At 45.3% G+C, this 14,580-nt stretch overlaps 1 protein-coding gene across 3 annotated transcripts, besides 7 other annotated features; it reads left to right on the plus strand.

Annotated features, from left to right (window-relative positions):
- Positions 6,940 to 7,259: an enhancer, noted in NCBI's record as "active region_17901". NCBI's record gives its function as "activates an Ori minimal core promoter by ATAC-STARR-seq in GM12878 lymphoblastoid cells {active_cell/tissue: GM12878}" and the evidence as "EXISTENCE:reporter gene assay evidence [ECO:0000049][PMID:35858748]".
- Positions 7,320 to 7,479: an enhancer, noted in NCBI's record as "active region_17902". NCBI's record gives its function as "activates an Ori minimal core promoter by ATAC-STARR-seq in GM12878 lymphoblastoid cells {active_cell/tissue: GM12878}" and the evidence as "EXISTENCE:reporter gene assay evidence [ECO:0000049][PMID:35858748]".
- Positions 7,320 to 8,389: a biological region, named in NCBI's record as "NANOG-H3K27ac-H3K4me1 hESC enhancer GRCh37_chr20:42086334-42087281".
- Positions 7,401 to 8,348: an enhancer, noted in NCBI's record as "NANOG-H3K27ac-H3K4me1 hESC enhancer chr20:42086334-42087281 (GRCh37/hg19 assembly coordinates)". NCBI's record gives its function as "activates a minimal SCP1, AML or CMV promoter by ChIP-STARR-seq in naive and primed H9 embryonic stem cells {active_cell/tissue: H9 hESC(naive and primed)}" and the evidence as "EXISTENCE:reporter gene assay evidence [ECO:0000049][PMID:30033119]".
- On the plus strand, positions 7,603 to 13,950 carry SRSF6 (serine and arginine rich splicing factor 6). 3 transcript variants are annotated; one of them, NR_034009.2, is made up of 7 exons: positions 7,603 to 7,847; positions 8,068 to 8,216; positions 8,860 to 9,127; positions 9,478 to 9,602; positions 9,740 to 9,948; positions 10,222 to 10,305; positions 10,410 to 13,950. NR_034009.2 is itself a non-coding variant. In NM_006275.6 (6 exons), exons 1-6 carry the CDS (start codon positions 7,741 to 7,743, stop codon positions 10,768 to 10,770), a joined length of 1,035 nt encoding a protein of 344 aa, NP_006266.2. In that variant the 5' UTR covers positions 7,603 to 7,740; the 3' UTR covers positions 10,771 to 13,950. The 3 variants fall into 3 exon arrangements, 2 of the variants coding, with proteins under 2 accessions (NP_006266.2, XP_047296328.1); NM_006275.6 differs by lacking the exon at positions 8,860 to 9,127; XM_047440372.1 differs by lacking the exons at positions 9,478 to 9,602; positions 9,740 to 9,948; positions 10,222 to 10,305; positions 10,410 to 13,950 and having other exon boundaries at positions 8,860 to 9,244.
- Positions 7,780 to 7,879: an enhancer, noted in NCBI's record as "active region_17903". NCBI's record gives its function as "activates an Ori minimal core promoter by ATAC-STARR-seq in GM12878 lymphoblastoid cells {active_cell/tissue: GM12878}" and the evidence as "EXISTENCE:reporter gene assay evidence [ECO:0000049][PMID:35858748]".
- Positions 8,020 to 8,119: a silencer, noted in NCBI's record as "silent region_12924". NCBI's record gives its function as "represses an Ori minimal core promoter by ATAC-STARR-seq in GM12878 lymphoblastoid cells {active_cell/tissue: GM12878}" and the evidence as "EXISTENCE:reporter gene assay evidence [ECO:0000049][PMID:35858748]".
- Positions 8,130 to 8,389: a silencer, noted in NCBI's record as "silent region_12925". NCBI's record gives its function as "represses an Ori minimal core promoter by ATAC-STARR-seq in GM12878 lymphoblastoid cells {active_cell/tissue: GM12878}" and the evidence as "EXISTENCE:reporter gene assay evidence [ECO:0000049][PMID:35858748]".

A 14,580-nucleotide genomic window follows, 5' to 3' on the forward strand; every position in this document is an offset into this window, starting at 1 on the left:
CTCTCAATTAGCACTTACTATGTGTGCTGCAGTTTTGTTTTTGTTTTGTTTTGTTTTTAGAGATAGGGTCTCACTCTGTCACCCAGGCTGGAGTGCATTAGCTCACTGCAGCCTTGAAACCCTGGTTTCAAGCACCTTTCTGCCTCAGCCTCCCAGGTAGCTGGGACTACAGGTATGTGCTATTGTGTCTAGCTGTATGTGGACTTTTCTTTTTTCTTTTTTTTTCTTTTTTCTTTTTTTTTTTTTGAGATGAAGTCTTGCTCACTCTATCGCCCAGGTTGGAGTGCAGTGCTGTGATCTTGGCTCATTGCACTGCAACCCGTGCCTCCCCAGTTCAAGTGATTCTCTTCCCTCAGCCTCCTGAGTAGCTGGGATTGCAGGCATGCACCACTACACCCAGCTAATTTTTGTATTTTTACTAGAGACGGGGGTTTCACCATGTTGGCCAGGCTGGTCTCGAACTCCTGACCTCAGGTGATCCGCCCGCCTCAGCCTCGCAAAGAGCTGGAATTACAGGCTTGAGCCACTGTGCCCGGCCCATTTTTGGACTTTTCTAAGGACTGGACATGAAGGTGTAAAAAGACAGACAGCATCCCTGCTCCACTGACACTGACATTCTCGTTGGGGATGGGAGAGGCAGAAATACATATCTCGGGTGATGAAAATTTCTACGAAAAAAAGTGGAACAGGGGAAGAAGAGACACAGAGTGCAGGGGAAAAACTCTATTTTTAAATAGGTGGTTGAGGAGGCGCTTCTGATAACAGTCTGTTTCCTGCTGATATACCACAAACTGGGTAATTTATAATGAAATTAGAATACCACAAACTGGGTAATTTATAATGAAAAATTTATTTCTCTCCCTCTTTAAGGCTAGTCAAGTGACGCAGTGGAAGTGGAGAAGGAACAAAGAAATCTGTAACTGATTGTGATCAATTAGTTGCAAACATCATTGCACTTGGACCAGCCAGAAAAGAAATTTATTTCTTACACAAGACAGAGAGGCACCGGGGCCAGACTCGCTTTATAACAATCCACCCTCTCAATAACCAACCCACTCCTTCCGTAATAACGACATTAATTCATGAAGGCTCCACCCCCATTCATGATTCAATCGCCTCTTATTAGGCCCCACCTCCCAATATCATGCACTGGGGATAAAGTCTCCAACACAGAAATTGTTGAGGGACATGTTCAAGCCACAGCAATAACGTTGAGCAGAAACCAAAAGAAAATGAGGGGAGCAAATCACAGAAAAATAGTTCCAGATGCAGGGAGCTGTCCCGTGACAAGGCCCTGAGGTCAGTGTATGTTTGGCACATTCAAGAGCTGGTGGGAGAAGGAAGGGTAAGAAATGCAGGGAGAGTTGGAGGGATGTGACTGTATAGGACCTACCCCCATTGATGTTCAAAAGCAACCGCAAACCCATCCAATACACACATGTGTAGTCGTATCAAGAGCTGGGGGTTTTAGGCCAGGCAAGGTGGCTCATGCCTGTAATCCCAGCACTTTGAAAGGCCGAGGTGGGCAGATCAGTTGAGTCTAGGAGTTCGAGACTAGCCTGGGCAACATGGCAAAACCCCATCTCTAAAAAAAATTAGCTGGACGTGGTGGCGCATGCCAGTAGTCCCAGCTACTCAGGAGGCTGAGGTGGGAAAATTTCCTGAGCCCGGGAGGTGGAGATTGCAGTAAGCCAAGATGGCACCACTGCACTGCAGCCTGGATGACCAAGTGAGACTCTGACTCAAAAAAAAAAAAAAAGCGGGGTGGGGCGGGGCTTGAGGTGGTGTTATTTACAAAAACAATGGGATCATGCATATATTAAAACTTGCCTTCTTAACAACACTCAGAAGCATCATTAGTGGTCAGTCACACAGATTGAGGTAAGCAAACCTCTTCTGTGAAGAGCCAGCGAGGAAATAGTTCAGGCTTTGCAGGCTGGATAGTCTCTGTTGCAACCACTCAATATAATAACAAATCAAGACTGCTGTTGTAGCTTGAGAGGAGCCATAGACAATGTGTAAATGAATGGGTGATACTGTGTTCCCACAGAACCTTATTTACAAAACAAGTGGCAGGCCAAGATTTGACTGGGGCCCTAGTTTGCAAAGCTGACACATGACGTTACTATGGTTTTCCCAATGCTGAGAACAGTAGGCATTCGATAAATATTTATTTGAAATGAGAATAATCTTACTTATTTTCATTGTGGAAGAGTATTCCATGGCTTGAATAAGCATCCCTGGACCTATGATTTTACAAACTGGCCCCTTGTCAAATAGATTTCTAGGATTAAGGTTACTGGGTCAAAGGTTTATGAACTTGCTGTTTGTCAATTAACCACTACCTCCCTGAAACCCTTTCCACTCCTAGCTTCTGTGACACCACACTCTTTTCGGGTTTTTTCCTTACCTTTTTAGACACTTCCCAGTTGCCATTCCTAAATTTTTGGAAGGGAGGGGGACAGGTCTTCACTCTGTGGCCCAGGCTGGAGAGAAGTCACACAATCACGACTCACTGCAGCCTGAAACACCTGGGCTCAAGTGATCCTCCTGCCTTTGCCTCCCAAGTAGCTAGGACTACAGGTGCGTGCCGCCATGCCTACTAACATTTTTCTTTCTTTTTTTGACACGTAGTCTCGTTCTGTCGCCCAGGCTGGAGTGCAGTAGTGCAATCTCTGCTCACTGCGACCTCCACCTCCCGGGTTTAAGCGATTCTCAGTCTCCCGAGCAGCTGGGATTACAGGCCTGCACCACCACACACGGCTAATTTTTGTGTTTTTAGTGGAGACAGGGTTTCACCATTTTGGCCAGGCTGGTCTCGAACTCCTGACCTCAAGTGATCTGCCCACCTCGTCCTCCCAAAGTGTTGGGATTACAGGCGTTAGCCACTGTGCCTGGCCTTTTTTCATTTTTTGTAGACTTGCTATATTGCCCAGGCTGGTCTTGAACTCCTGGCCTCCAGAGATCCTCCCACCTCATCCTCCCAAAGCGCTAGGATTACAAGCACAAGTCCCTGCACCCAGCTTCCATTCCTAAATTTAACAAAATTTCAGAGTCCCTGTGGTAGTGTGTGTGGAATTGGTTCCTTCCGGTGGGTTCTTGGTCTTGCTGACTTCAAGAATGAAGCCGCGGACCCTCGCAGTGAGTGTTACAGTTCTTAAAGATGGTGTGTCCGGAGTTTCTCCTTCAGATGTTCAGATGTGTCCCGAGTTCCTTCCTTCCAGTGGGTTCGTGGTCTTAAGCTGCAGACCTTCTGCAGTGAGTGTTACAGCTCTTAAAGGTAGTGCGGACCCAAAGAGTGGGCAGCAGCAAGATTTATATGTGCATGTATACATAAATATGTATAGAGAGAGGCTTAAGTCCATGGAATGTAGTTAGGGAAAGGAGAATTTGACAATGATAACATTTGTTACTCATCAAACTCTCATTTTTAAAAAATTTATTAAAATTATTTGCAAGAGTTGAAGCAGGAAATGACACTCTTACGGTATTGGTGGGACTGGACATTGCTTTGGGGAGTTAGTGGGATAGTATTTATTGAAGGATAGGGAATTCGTTTGTCAAAGAGAAAGATGCAGCTGATATCATCCACTCTTCCTCTCACTTCTCTTTCCCAAAGCCCAGTGGCTACCCCTAACAAAAAACCCAAGAGCACTGCTGCGGAAGAGAAAACAGTTTCAAATATCATAATTGAGAGAGGTGCTGGATTGTCACCATTCTGTGGAGTCTTCCTGAGGACCCAACTCTGCTGATGTGTTGGGAGAACAACTCAAAGGAGAAATGGTAGATGTGCAGCATGGGAGCTCATATCTTTTCTTATTTCTTTCTTTCCTTTCTCTCCTTTCTTTTTTAGACAAGAGTCTTGCTCTGTCACCCAGGCTGGAGTGAAGTGGAGCCATCATACCTCACTGCAGCCTTGACCTCCAGGGCTCAAGTGATCCTCCCACCTCAGTCCCTGGAGTAGCTGGGACTACAAGTATACGCCGCCAGTACTGGCCTTTTTTTTTTTTAAGAGATGGAGTCTTGCTATGTTGTTCAGGCTGGTCTTGTGCTCCTGGGATCAAGTGATCCCATCTCTGCCTCTCAAGGTGATGGGATTACAGGTGTGAGCCACGGTGCCCGGCAAATCCCCTCTCGTAGCAACTCAGGTGTATTTGTATGGAGTGGAGTGAATATAGCAGTAGTTGCTCCAGGAACAGAATCCAGAATTGGAAACTGTCAGTGACAGAGTTAGAAAGAATCATGAATCAGATGACTGAAAGATCCTCTGAGGCTCTTCCAACTGGGAGATTGGATTGCATGTTGCCAAGCTAGTCCAAACTTCGTTTTAAAAACTTCCATAGGCTGGGCATGGTGGCTCATGCCTGTAATCCCAGCACTTTGGGAGGATGAGGCTTGAACTCCTTGAGCCCAGGAGATCAAGATCAGCCTGGGTAACATAGGGAGACCCTGCCTCTATTTAAAAAAGAAAAGAAAAAAACTTCTGTACAGGATTCATTTGGAATAGCACTTCTCAACCTCAGCTATTGACATTGGGGACCAGATAATCCTTCGTGGTGGGGCTGTCCTGTGCCTTGCAGGATGTTTCGTGGCATCCCTGGCCTCTACCCATGAGATACGAGCAGCTCCTTCCCTCCTCCAGCTGTGACAACCAGAAAGTCTTCAGATATTGACAGATGTCCGCAGGGGGGACAGAACTACCCCCTGTTGAGAACCACTGCCCCCTGTTGAGAGCCTTCCCAATAGCTGTGACTATAGGCATGTGCCACCATGCCCAGCTAATTTTTTAAAAAAAAAGTTTTTTGTAGAGATGGGATCTTGCCATGTTGCCCAGGTTGATATCGAACTCCTGGGCTCAAGCAATCCTCTCACCTGGGCCTCCCAAAGTGCTGGGATTACAGGCGTGAGCTACTACGCCTTGCTCCTTGCTTTTCTTTATTTCATTGAGTCAGTGTCTTGCTTTGTCATCCAGGCTGCAGTGCAGTGGCATGATCATAGCTTACTGCAGCCTCGAACTCCTGGGCTCAAGAGATCTTCCTGCCTCAGCTTCCCAAGGTGCAGGGATTACAGAATCATATTTTTTATCTGACTTTAAGCACGGTCTCTATCTCCCCCAGTCGTGACAAACAACGTTTCCCTCCAGACTGCCAAATAGCTCCAGGAGGGCAAACCCCGCCCCCCCTTTTCAACCCGAAGCGGAAGGATATTGAGGTTGCACCACTCAAAACAGAGCAGGAATACAAAAATATCCAAAGAGCTGGTGTTGGGCTTGGCACAATGGCTCACGCCTATAATCCCAGCACTTTGGGAGGCAGAGACGGGTGGATCACCTCAGGTTGGGAGTTCGAAACGAGACCAGCCTAACATGGTGAAACCCCGTCTCTACTAAAAATACAAAATTAGCTGGGCGTGGTGGTGCATGCCTGTAATCCCAGCTACTCGGGAGGCTGAGGCAGGAGAATCACTTGAACCCAGGAGGCGGAGGTTGCAGTGAGCCGAGATGGCACAGGTGTGAGCCACAGAGCCTGGCCTGGGCTGCGTTCTTTCAGGAGGCTCTGGGGCGAATCTGTTCCCTCGTGTCTTCCAGCTTCCAGAGGCTACTGGCACCCTTTGGCTTATGGTTCCTTCCTCCATCTTCAAAGCCATTAACTTCGGTTGTGACTTTCTTACAGCCAATCACTCTGACCCCAATCCCAGCCTCCTTTGTCACATCTGCTTCTCTGACTGTGGCTCTCCTGTCCCCCTCTTGTAATCACCCTTATGATCACATGGGGCCCACCTGGACAATCCCGGGGCATCTCTGCATCTCAAGATGCTCAACTTAATCAGATCTGCAAAGTCCCTTTTGACATACAAGGTAACATCTTCACAGGTTTCAGGGATTAGGATTAGGATTAGGACATAGACATCTTTAGGGGGAACCCTTATTCTGCCTACCGAGGTGAAGAGGTGAAGCCGGCTGGGCTTCTGGGTTGGGTGGGGACTTGGAGAACTTTCCCGTCTAGCTAAAGGATTGAAAACACACCAATCAGTGCTCTCTGTCTAGCTAAAGGTTTGTAAACACACCAATCAGCACTCTGTAAAAACGGACCAATCAACATTCTGTAAAATGGACCAATCAGCAGGATGTAGGCAGGGCCAAATAAGGGACTAAAAACTGGCGGTCCAGCCAGCAGTGGCAACCCGCTCGGGTCCCCTTCCACGCTGCGGAAGCTTTGTTCTTTCCTTCAGGCAGGTTGGAGTCTTGCTTTGTCACCCAGGCTGGAGTGCAGTGGCATGATCATAGCTCACTGCAGCCTCGAACACCTGGGCTCAAGAGATCCTCTTGCCTCAGCTTCCCAAGGTGTGGGGATTACAGACTCGTATTTTTTATTTATCTAACTTTAAGCACGGCCTCTACCTCCCCCAGTCGTGACAAACAACGTTTCCCTCTAGACTTCCAAATAGCTCCAGGAGGACAAAACCCCCCTTTTTCAACCCGAAGCTTAAGGATATTGAGGTTGCACCACTCAAAACAGAGCAGGAATACATAAATATCTAAAGAGCTGGTGTTATCTCAGTGATATCCCTTTTTTTTTTTTTTTTTTTTTTTAGCTTCGGCGGTGACACCTACTCTCCTGGTCTTCTCCCTACCTCGCTAGTCACTCCTCCCAGTCTCCTTTCCTGCGCTTAAATTTCAGAGTACCCCAGGCGTTGGCCTGGGTCTTCCGCTCTCCACTTAAACTTACTCCTTTGAGGTTTTCAATCTGGTTCTACAGCTTTAAATAGCATCTCCATTGATAAACTCACAAAATAAGGCACTTTCAAGTCAGTGGAGGAAATGATAGTATTGGGACAAAGGACTTTCCATACACGGGAGAAAAAAAATCGTTCGTCGCTGTGGGAGGGCTGCCGGGTCTCGTCCACGCTCCCTTTTGAGCACCTACAGTGAGCGTAGGATTGCCACGGATAGCCCAATCCACAAGTGAGTCAAGCTGCCAGGGCTCCAAGAAAGACCCATGGAGGGAGAGGGGAACGTCCGGGGAGGCGAAGGCTGCGAGTGAGACCCGGAGAGGCTGATGTCGGCGGGTCTGCGCGCTCGCAACGCGACCTCCGCCCGGTCAGCAAGACCTCGGCGCGCGATCCTCAGATTCTGCGAAACAAGACAAGCGACTGGGTCCGAGACCGCGGTCCCCATCAAAACGAGCATCAACCAATCGCTGGGAGAAATCCGCAGCCTCGTTTTAAGCCACCAAGCAGAGACCGCGGCGACCTATTATGATAACCTCGAGAACCAATGAAAAACGGGGATTCGCTCAGCCCGCCTCCCGAGCTTCAACCCCGAAGAGATCGCGCACAGTTTTATAAAAGGTACAAATTAGAAAGCAGTTCTGCGGCTGGATTAGAGACATTGTGTTTTCAAAGACGGTGGGGAGGGCTAGAGAAAAATCCTAGAAGCTAGCAAGACCGCACTACACCGAAACGTCGCGGGCAACGGACTCGCCAGTCACCATCTAGCCCAGGGACGACGCGGGACGGACGTGCCGCTGCGCGCTGACATCACGCTCCAGGCCCCGCCCCACCGGCCGCCCATATAGCGAAAGCCTGGCGCGCGCGCGCGCCATTGTGTGGCTGGACTCGGCCGCCCCTGTGGTGTGAGGCGCGTGTTCGGGCTCTTGCCGTCCCCGCACCCGCACCGCGGTTACTGGCTTGCGGTCCGCCGTTCGACAACCAGCCCTTGGGTCCCCGCCCGCCACGGACATGCCGCGCGTCTACATAGGACGCCTGAGCTACAACGTCCGGGAGAAGGACATCCAGCGCTTTTTCAGTGGCTATGGCCGCCTCCTCGAAGTAGACCTCAAAAATGGGTGAGTCGGGCCTGGGCGCCCGCGCCCAGCGTCCCAGGCCTGGTGGCGGCGGGAACTCTCCAAGGAAAGAAGCGGCCAAGGCCGCGGCGCCGCGTGGCAGGGCCTCAAAGATGGCGACGGCGCGGCGTCGCGGGGGCGCGCGGTGGGGTACGGGCGCGCGCACGTGCGCGTCCTGGCTAACGACTCCCCCGCGGTTGTCCGGCCCTCGCACCGCCCCTAGGTACGGCTTCGTGGAGTTCGAGGACTCCCGCGACGCCGACGACGCCGTTTACGAGCTGAACGGCAAGGAGCTCTGCGGCGAGCGCGTGATCGTAGAGCACGCCCGGGGCCCGCGTCGCGATCGCGACGGCTACAGCTACGGAAGCCGCAGTGAGTCCCACCCCCGCGCGCTCCGCGCCCTTGGGGACCCTGGGGGCGGGGGTGGGTGGGGTGGGGCCTCCCAGCCCGGGCAGGCGCGAGGGCCGGGGGTCGTTTGACTTGGGTGTCCCCGAGCCCCGCTGCCTTCACGTCTGCCCGGGGCAGCCATGGGACGCCGGAGCGCGGGGATTGGGTTTGGGTGTTTGGTTTTGTTTATTTGCCAAGTTGGGAGGTGGGTGGCTTCTTCTGGCCCCTTGTCAGCACTGTCACGGGTTCTTCCCACAGAGGAAGTAAGGGGTGGCTGTATTTGTTGTATTCTCCTTACTTACCTATCAGTGCATTAGTTAGAGGTTCGGGGGCAGGCTCGGGTGGAGGTGGGGTAGGGGGCGCGGGGGACGGGGAAGGGGAGGAGCATAAAGTATAGGTCTTAAAGCTATGGAACTTGATGGGGGCCAAAGAATGTACTATTTTTAAGTAATGTGGTATTGTACCACAAAGTAGATCTAAATAAGCTTTATGCTGTATTTGAACTAATTGGGGCATGTTATTGGGAGGAGGTTGGGGGGATTTTTGGTTATGTTAAATGTTTGATGTTTAAATTGTTGCATGTTGAATTCAAACTTTTTAACAAGTCCTTGATGTTTCAATTTGAAAGTGACCAATGGGGCTGAGGCTGTGTCCACTGAGGCTAAGATGACTGCCTTTCCTGATTGGCCTTGGCTTTTCCATACATTGTGTGACCCTTGCCCTATGACCCTTTGGCTGACCTTACCGGAAGCCATGACGACAGCAGCCTTTTGCCATTAGACGCAGGGTGATGGTGAGGATTCCAAGGGTTAGACAAAACTGGTTAATCTGAACTAGGTGACTGTTACCTTGCGTGTTTTGTGGCCAAACCACCACCAAAAACCTCACACTGTGATGTAAGTACTTAGTGTAAAACTAGTAAACATTTTTGTAAAATGTAGAAATGCATGTAATCAGTTAAGTTTTATATTTTACAATGTTCTGTAAAATAAAACTTAGCGAGGTAAATCGAATAAAGGAGCAGTCACTCTCTAACAGATTGTAGGAGAGGTTTAGTTGGATTTAGTCTATTTGACTTGCCCTTAATTTAATTTTATGGCAAATCACAAATGTGTCGAAGGTTTAGCAATATAATAGCAAAGTCCTACTCCAGTAAATAAAAGTTGATATGTTTGTACTAACTTTCAAAGACATTATGCGTTTTTATCATTACAAGGCATCTAATTGTTCCCTTCATGTGATAAAGGTGGTGGAGGTGGATACAGCAGTCGGAGAACATCTGGCAGAGACAAATACGGACCACCTGTTCGTACAGAATACAGGCTTATTGTAGAAAATCTTTCTAGTCGGTGCAGTTGGCAAGATTTAAAGGTATGTTTTGTAATTCAAGATAGAAATGATATGACTAATGCTTTAAAGTAAACTCCTTTTATATTCTTATTTCTGGGAATTTATTATGGTATATAGATGTTTTAAGATTTCCGAGTCTGACCAATCTTGTCTTTCAGGATTTTATGCGACAAGCAGGTGAAGTAACCTATGCGGATGCCCACAAGGAACGAACAAATGAGGGTGTAATTGAGTTTCGCTCCTACTCTGACATGAAGCGTGCTTTGGACAAACTGGATGGCACAGAAATAAATGGCAGAAATATTAGGCTTATTGAAGATAAGCCACGCACAAGCCATAGGCGATCTTACTCTGGAAGCAGATCCAGGTAACTTGTTGAAGGACACTGTGGGAAGGAAACAATATTTGCCAATAAAAAGGGAGTAATTGAGTGATGTCAATTGTTGCCTACTTGAATTAAAGCCAGCTTTTAGTTTGTTTTGGCTGTGCATCATTGCGTTCTTTTCTGGATGTTTTGAACAGTGTATTTAATTTCGTAGTAAAGAAAAACATTATTCTTTGGCTTATCTATTTTTGCCAGATGGCACGGATGTATTTAAGTTGGATTGGGATTAAGACTTCATTGTTTTTCTCCTAATAGGTCTCGATCTAGAAGACGGTCACGAAGTAGGAGTCGCAGGAGCAGCCGCAGTAGATCTCGAAGTATCTCAAAAAGTCGCTCCCGGTAAATAACGTTGTGTTGAGTCACTGTGAATATTACCGTACTTGTTTATGGAGTATGTGTACATTCTCACTAAGTATTGAGAAAATCGGTCTTTCCTTGTCCAGTTCCAGGTCGCGGAGCAAAGGTCGATCACGTTCTCGATCAAAAGGCAGGAAATCTAGATCAAAGAGCAAATCTAAGCCCAAGTCTGATCGGGGCTCCCATTCACATTCTCGAAGCAGATCTAAGGATGAGTATGAGAAATCTCGAAGCAGGTCTCGGTCCCGATCCCCTAAAGAAAATGGAAAGGGTGATATAAAGTCAAAATCCAGATCAAGGAGCCAGTCCCGTTCCAATTCGCCGCTACCTGTTCCACCCTCAAAGGCCCGTTCTGTGTCCCCTCCACCAAAAAGAGCTACTTCAAGATCCCGTTCTAGATCTCGCTCAAAGTCAAGATCAAGGTCCAGGTCGAGTTCCAGAGATTAACTCAGAACTCCTTGTTTGCACATTATTATGGAACACTTTCCTACTTAGGCAGTTACTCTTCCATGTTTATACTTGGCCTCTTCTGCAAGAGGAATCTCTTGAAAACAGGGGCACACAGAAATTTGATTTGTGGCCAAATTGGATGAAAAAGATGAGGCTCTAAGGAAATGGTGGCATGAAGACCCTCTCCCTTCTTTGTAGAATTAAGATAACTTTGATTTTATAGCTTTTGAGCTAACGTAACTTTTGTAAAGATTAAGCTCATTTAGTGTTGTTTTTTTTTTTTTTTTTTTTTTTTTTTTTTTTTTTTTAGTATTTCAGCAGGATCTGCTGGCAGGGTTTTTTTGTTTTATTTGTTTGCTTATTTTTAAATTAACTGTTTTGAGCTTTGAATACTTAAGGCTTTAGAGGGAGAACCCAATTTTCAATTATGTTGGCTTTTTATAAAGCTTGAGTTATGTAAGATTTAAATAAAAGTTTGCTACCAAGATGATTGCCTTATTGAATAGGTCACTATTAAATTCCTTTAAATGTTGATATCTGCCATTTGTGGAAACAACGTAAATTCTACTTAAGTGTAAACAAGGCAAGCCTCAGACCAGCAATAAATTACTCAGTTTGGATAACATTATTTTGTGCAGTTAATCAAATTTGCCAAAGTCTTTATCTGCCCCTTTAACAAGTTGAGTAAAAATAAAAGGTATTTTTTAGTCAATGTGTTCCATGATTTTGCTTAAATTAATACTTTTAAGTAATGGAACTTTTTTCAAAGGCAAATTTAAACTATTTAAGAAATAGCTCCTAATACTTGGGATCTTGTTTAGAGAATCCACTTTCTGGAAGTTCTCAGCATAATTAGTGTTGAGAGTGGTTCAGTTGTCTTTAATGTTTGTCATGTGGAAATGGAAGTAGCCTCTTTTTGTTCTGAAATTGAGTTTATTCAAAGTGTAAAAGCACATACTGCATTTTCTGCTGAAAGATCATTATGTTTAACAGGCACTTAATCTCAGTAAAGTCAGTTGCCAGTTAAGTTCCACCCAGTAGTCAGTCCCCTTTGTAGTTAGTGGGATTATTTGATAATTGGTTAGATCATACTTGTAAATTTTAATGCTTTGTGTAATTGGTTTGAAAAACAGTGAAATGGGTAAACGCAAAACTTTTGTACTTTATTACGAGTAAAGTGTAATGAGTACTGTGGAAACCAAATTTGAATACTGCAAATTTGTAGGAGTTACTAGGTTAGCAATTAGTCCATACATCCATAAGCCTGATGAGTTGAAATTGCAGTTTGAGAAGTGAATTAACCTTACATCCCTTTGTTCAGATACCTTAAAAGTTACTTTATTTAAAAGCATTTATTAATCTTAGTCTGAAATCAAAATATAGATTAATTGGCTCAGCTTTAATACCTTTCTAGGAGGTGTCACAATGTAGGGTACCAAGGGTTGGATTGTGATGGGGCATGGTCGTACACTGCTCATTGTGCCACAGGTGTGACTGGAAAGCATGATATTCTAGGGTTGGTTTGTAGATTCAAATAATCCAGAAATATACCTAATAAGATTGAGTGAAAAATTTGAGTCAAATATCTAGGGCATTCACAGAGTAGCTGTGAGTTCTTGGTAATGTGAAAAAGGCCTTGTTTTTCAGAAATTCCTGGGTTTCCTGTTAAAAAATCTTAAAGCCCAACCTTAGGAATATAGTGCCCCAAAAGGCGGATGCTTCTTCCATTATCTTATTTTCTTTGATACTTTATTTAATTAGATGTTTATAAAGAAATGGGTTTATTTTTCCAGCATAAACCTCAGAATTTAAGGAAAGAAAATGATGTCTGTTGTTATAGTTCATTGTTTTGCCTACTCAGCAGAAGTGATGACTCTTAAAAATTGGCTTTGACCAAAGTTCTCTTGTTTTCAGGGAAAGAACATAAAAGCTTTTTGAACTACAGCCTTTTTAAAAGAGGGATGGGAGGATATTACAGTAAGAAATTAGGCTTTCTAAAAGTATGAAACATCCTTCAACTGGGCTCTCTTGTTAATAGGACATCATATGGTAATAGACTGGTTTGACTATATTGTTAGCTGCCACAGTAAGCAGGTCATTGTATAGGTAAATGCCTGCACCCATAATTTTCTAGTAATAGCCACGACCAATTTATTAACAGTCAGGGCCTATCCTTGCCTGTAGTTCTCAGTCACTGGATGCACAAAATCACTGTGTAACATTGGCTCACTTGGTGAGCATAGGGTTGACTGATAAAATGTTTAATTCCCTTGCTAGCTTGTGAGAAGAATGAGTTGATGACATGCTCCATACCAGTGGCTAGATGGAGTATTAAGGTGGAGCAGAAAAGAAGTGAGAACATCTTGATTCCCCTTTCTTTTACTTGATGGTGTTTATGAACATGCCGTAGTGCCTTTATGGCCAGTTTGAGTCCTGCCTACTTTGACTTTTACGTTCCCATTCCTGTGTTACCACCTTCCTCCCGATTTGTTCACCTATTTTGTGCTTTAAATCTCAATAAAATACTTACTGAGGGAAAGGCTTGTTTTGAGTTTATTGCATATGCCCACTTAGGACCAGATTCTTAACAAATGTTTTTTTGAATTGGAGTTTGCATTGGCAAGCCATTCCTGTCTTGAGTATGAGAACAGGATCTTGTGTTCACTTACCCAGAAACGTGAGTTTGGGATTTAGTATATGGTTTATGTTGGGCAACTCATTAATCACTGTGCTTCAGTGTCATCCATGAAACTAGGGATAAAACATGCATGGGATGTGAAGATTAAAAGTCAAGAATATGAACAGTACAAGAGAGTACCATAACAAATACAATTTTATTTACAAATATACATGGTTGGACCATACCTTGGAATCTACTTGCTAATGCAGCTGCTGTTAACAGTTCTTGTATCTGCTCAAGAGATTTCTATGATCATATAAAAATGCCTTTTTAGGTTTTCAGTGTTCATGCCCTGAGTAGTAGTCTGCAGTTTGCTTTAATACATGGTAATACAGAGATCGGCTTTAAATGGCTGGCTGGTTACTGTTGAATGAATGTATGATAAATTTTTTTTCAGAACCAACAGTGTGAATAATCCTTTCAGTTGTCTATCAGCATGAATTTAAAAATTACTTTCAAGATTCAACATTACACAATAAAACTTAGAGTTCTTGCAATAGAGCACCTAGTGTAGTAATTACCGATTTATATGCTAATCTTTGAGTTTCCTCAGTGACCATATTTTGAATAACAGATTAGTATCCCGAACATGTATGCATCCATTTACTGAAACGACAAGTCAGTACAATTGTGCAGTTGGTCTTCGTACATCCTATATAGCTTGTTTACATATGCCTGTTTATCTTTGAGCAATCCTGCAGATGGCCCCCAGTATAGCACTTAACACAGTCGTTAACTTTTTATTCCTTTTGAATAGAAAGGAATCATGGTTCAAAAATTAGAAGAGTGGGTGCGGTGGCTCATGCCTGTAATCCCGGCACTTTGGGAGGCCAAGACAGGAGGATCACCTGAGCTCAGGAATTCAAGACCAGCCTGGCCAACATGGTGAAACCCTGTCTCCACCAAAAATATAAAAATTAGCCAGGCATGGTGTTGCGTGCTTGTAGTCCTACTACTTGGGAGACTGAGACAGACAGAAGAATTGCTTGAACCCAGGAGGCGGAGGTTGCAGTTAGCCAAGATAACACCATGGCACTCCAGCCTGGGCGACAGAGTGAAACCCTGTCTCAAAAAAAATTTTTTTTCAATGTGTTTTCTGGGAACAGGGCCATTATCTTCTGTAACTA

Source organism: Homo sapiens, chromosome 20 (assembly GCF_000001405.40).
Source record: "Homo sapiens chromosome 20, GRCh38.p14 Primary Assembly".
NCBI lineage: Eukaryota > Metazoa > Chordata > Mammalia > Primates > Hominidae > Homo > Homo sapiens.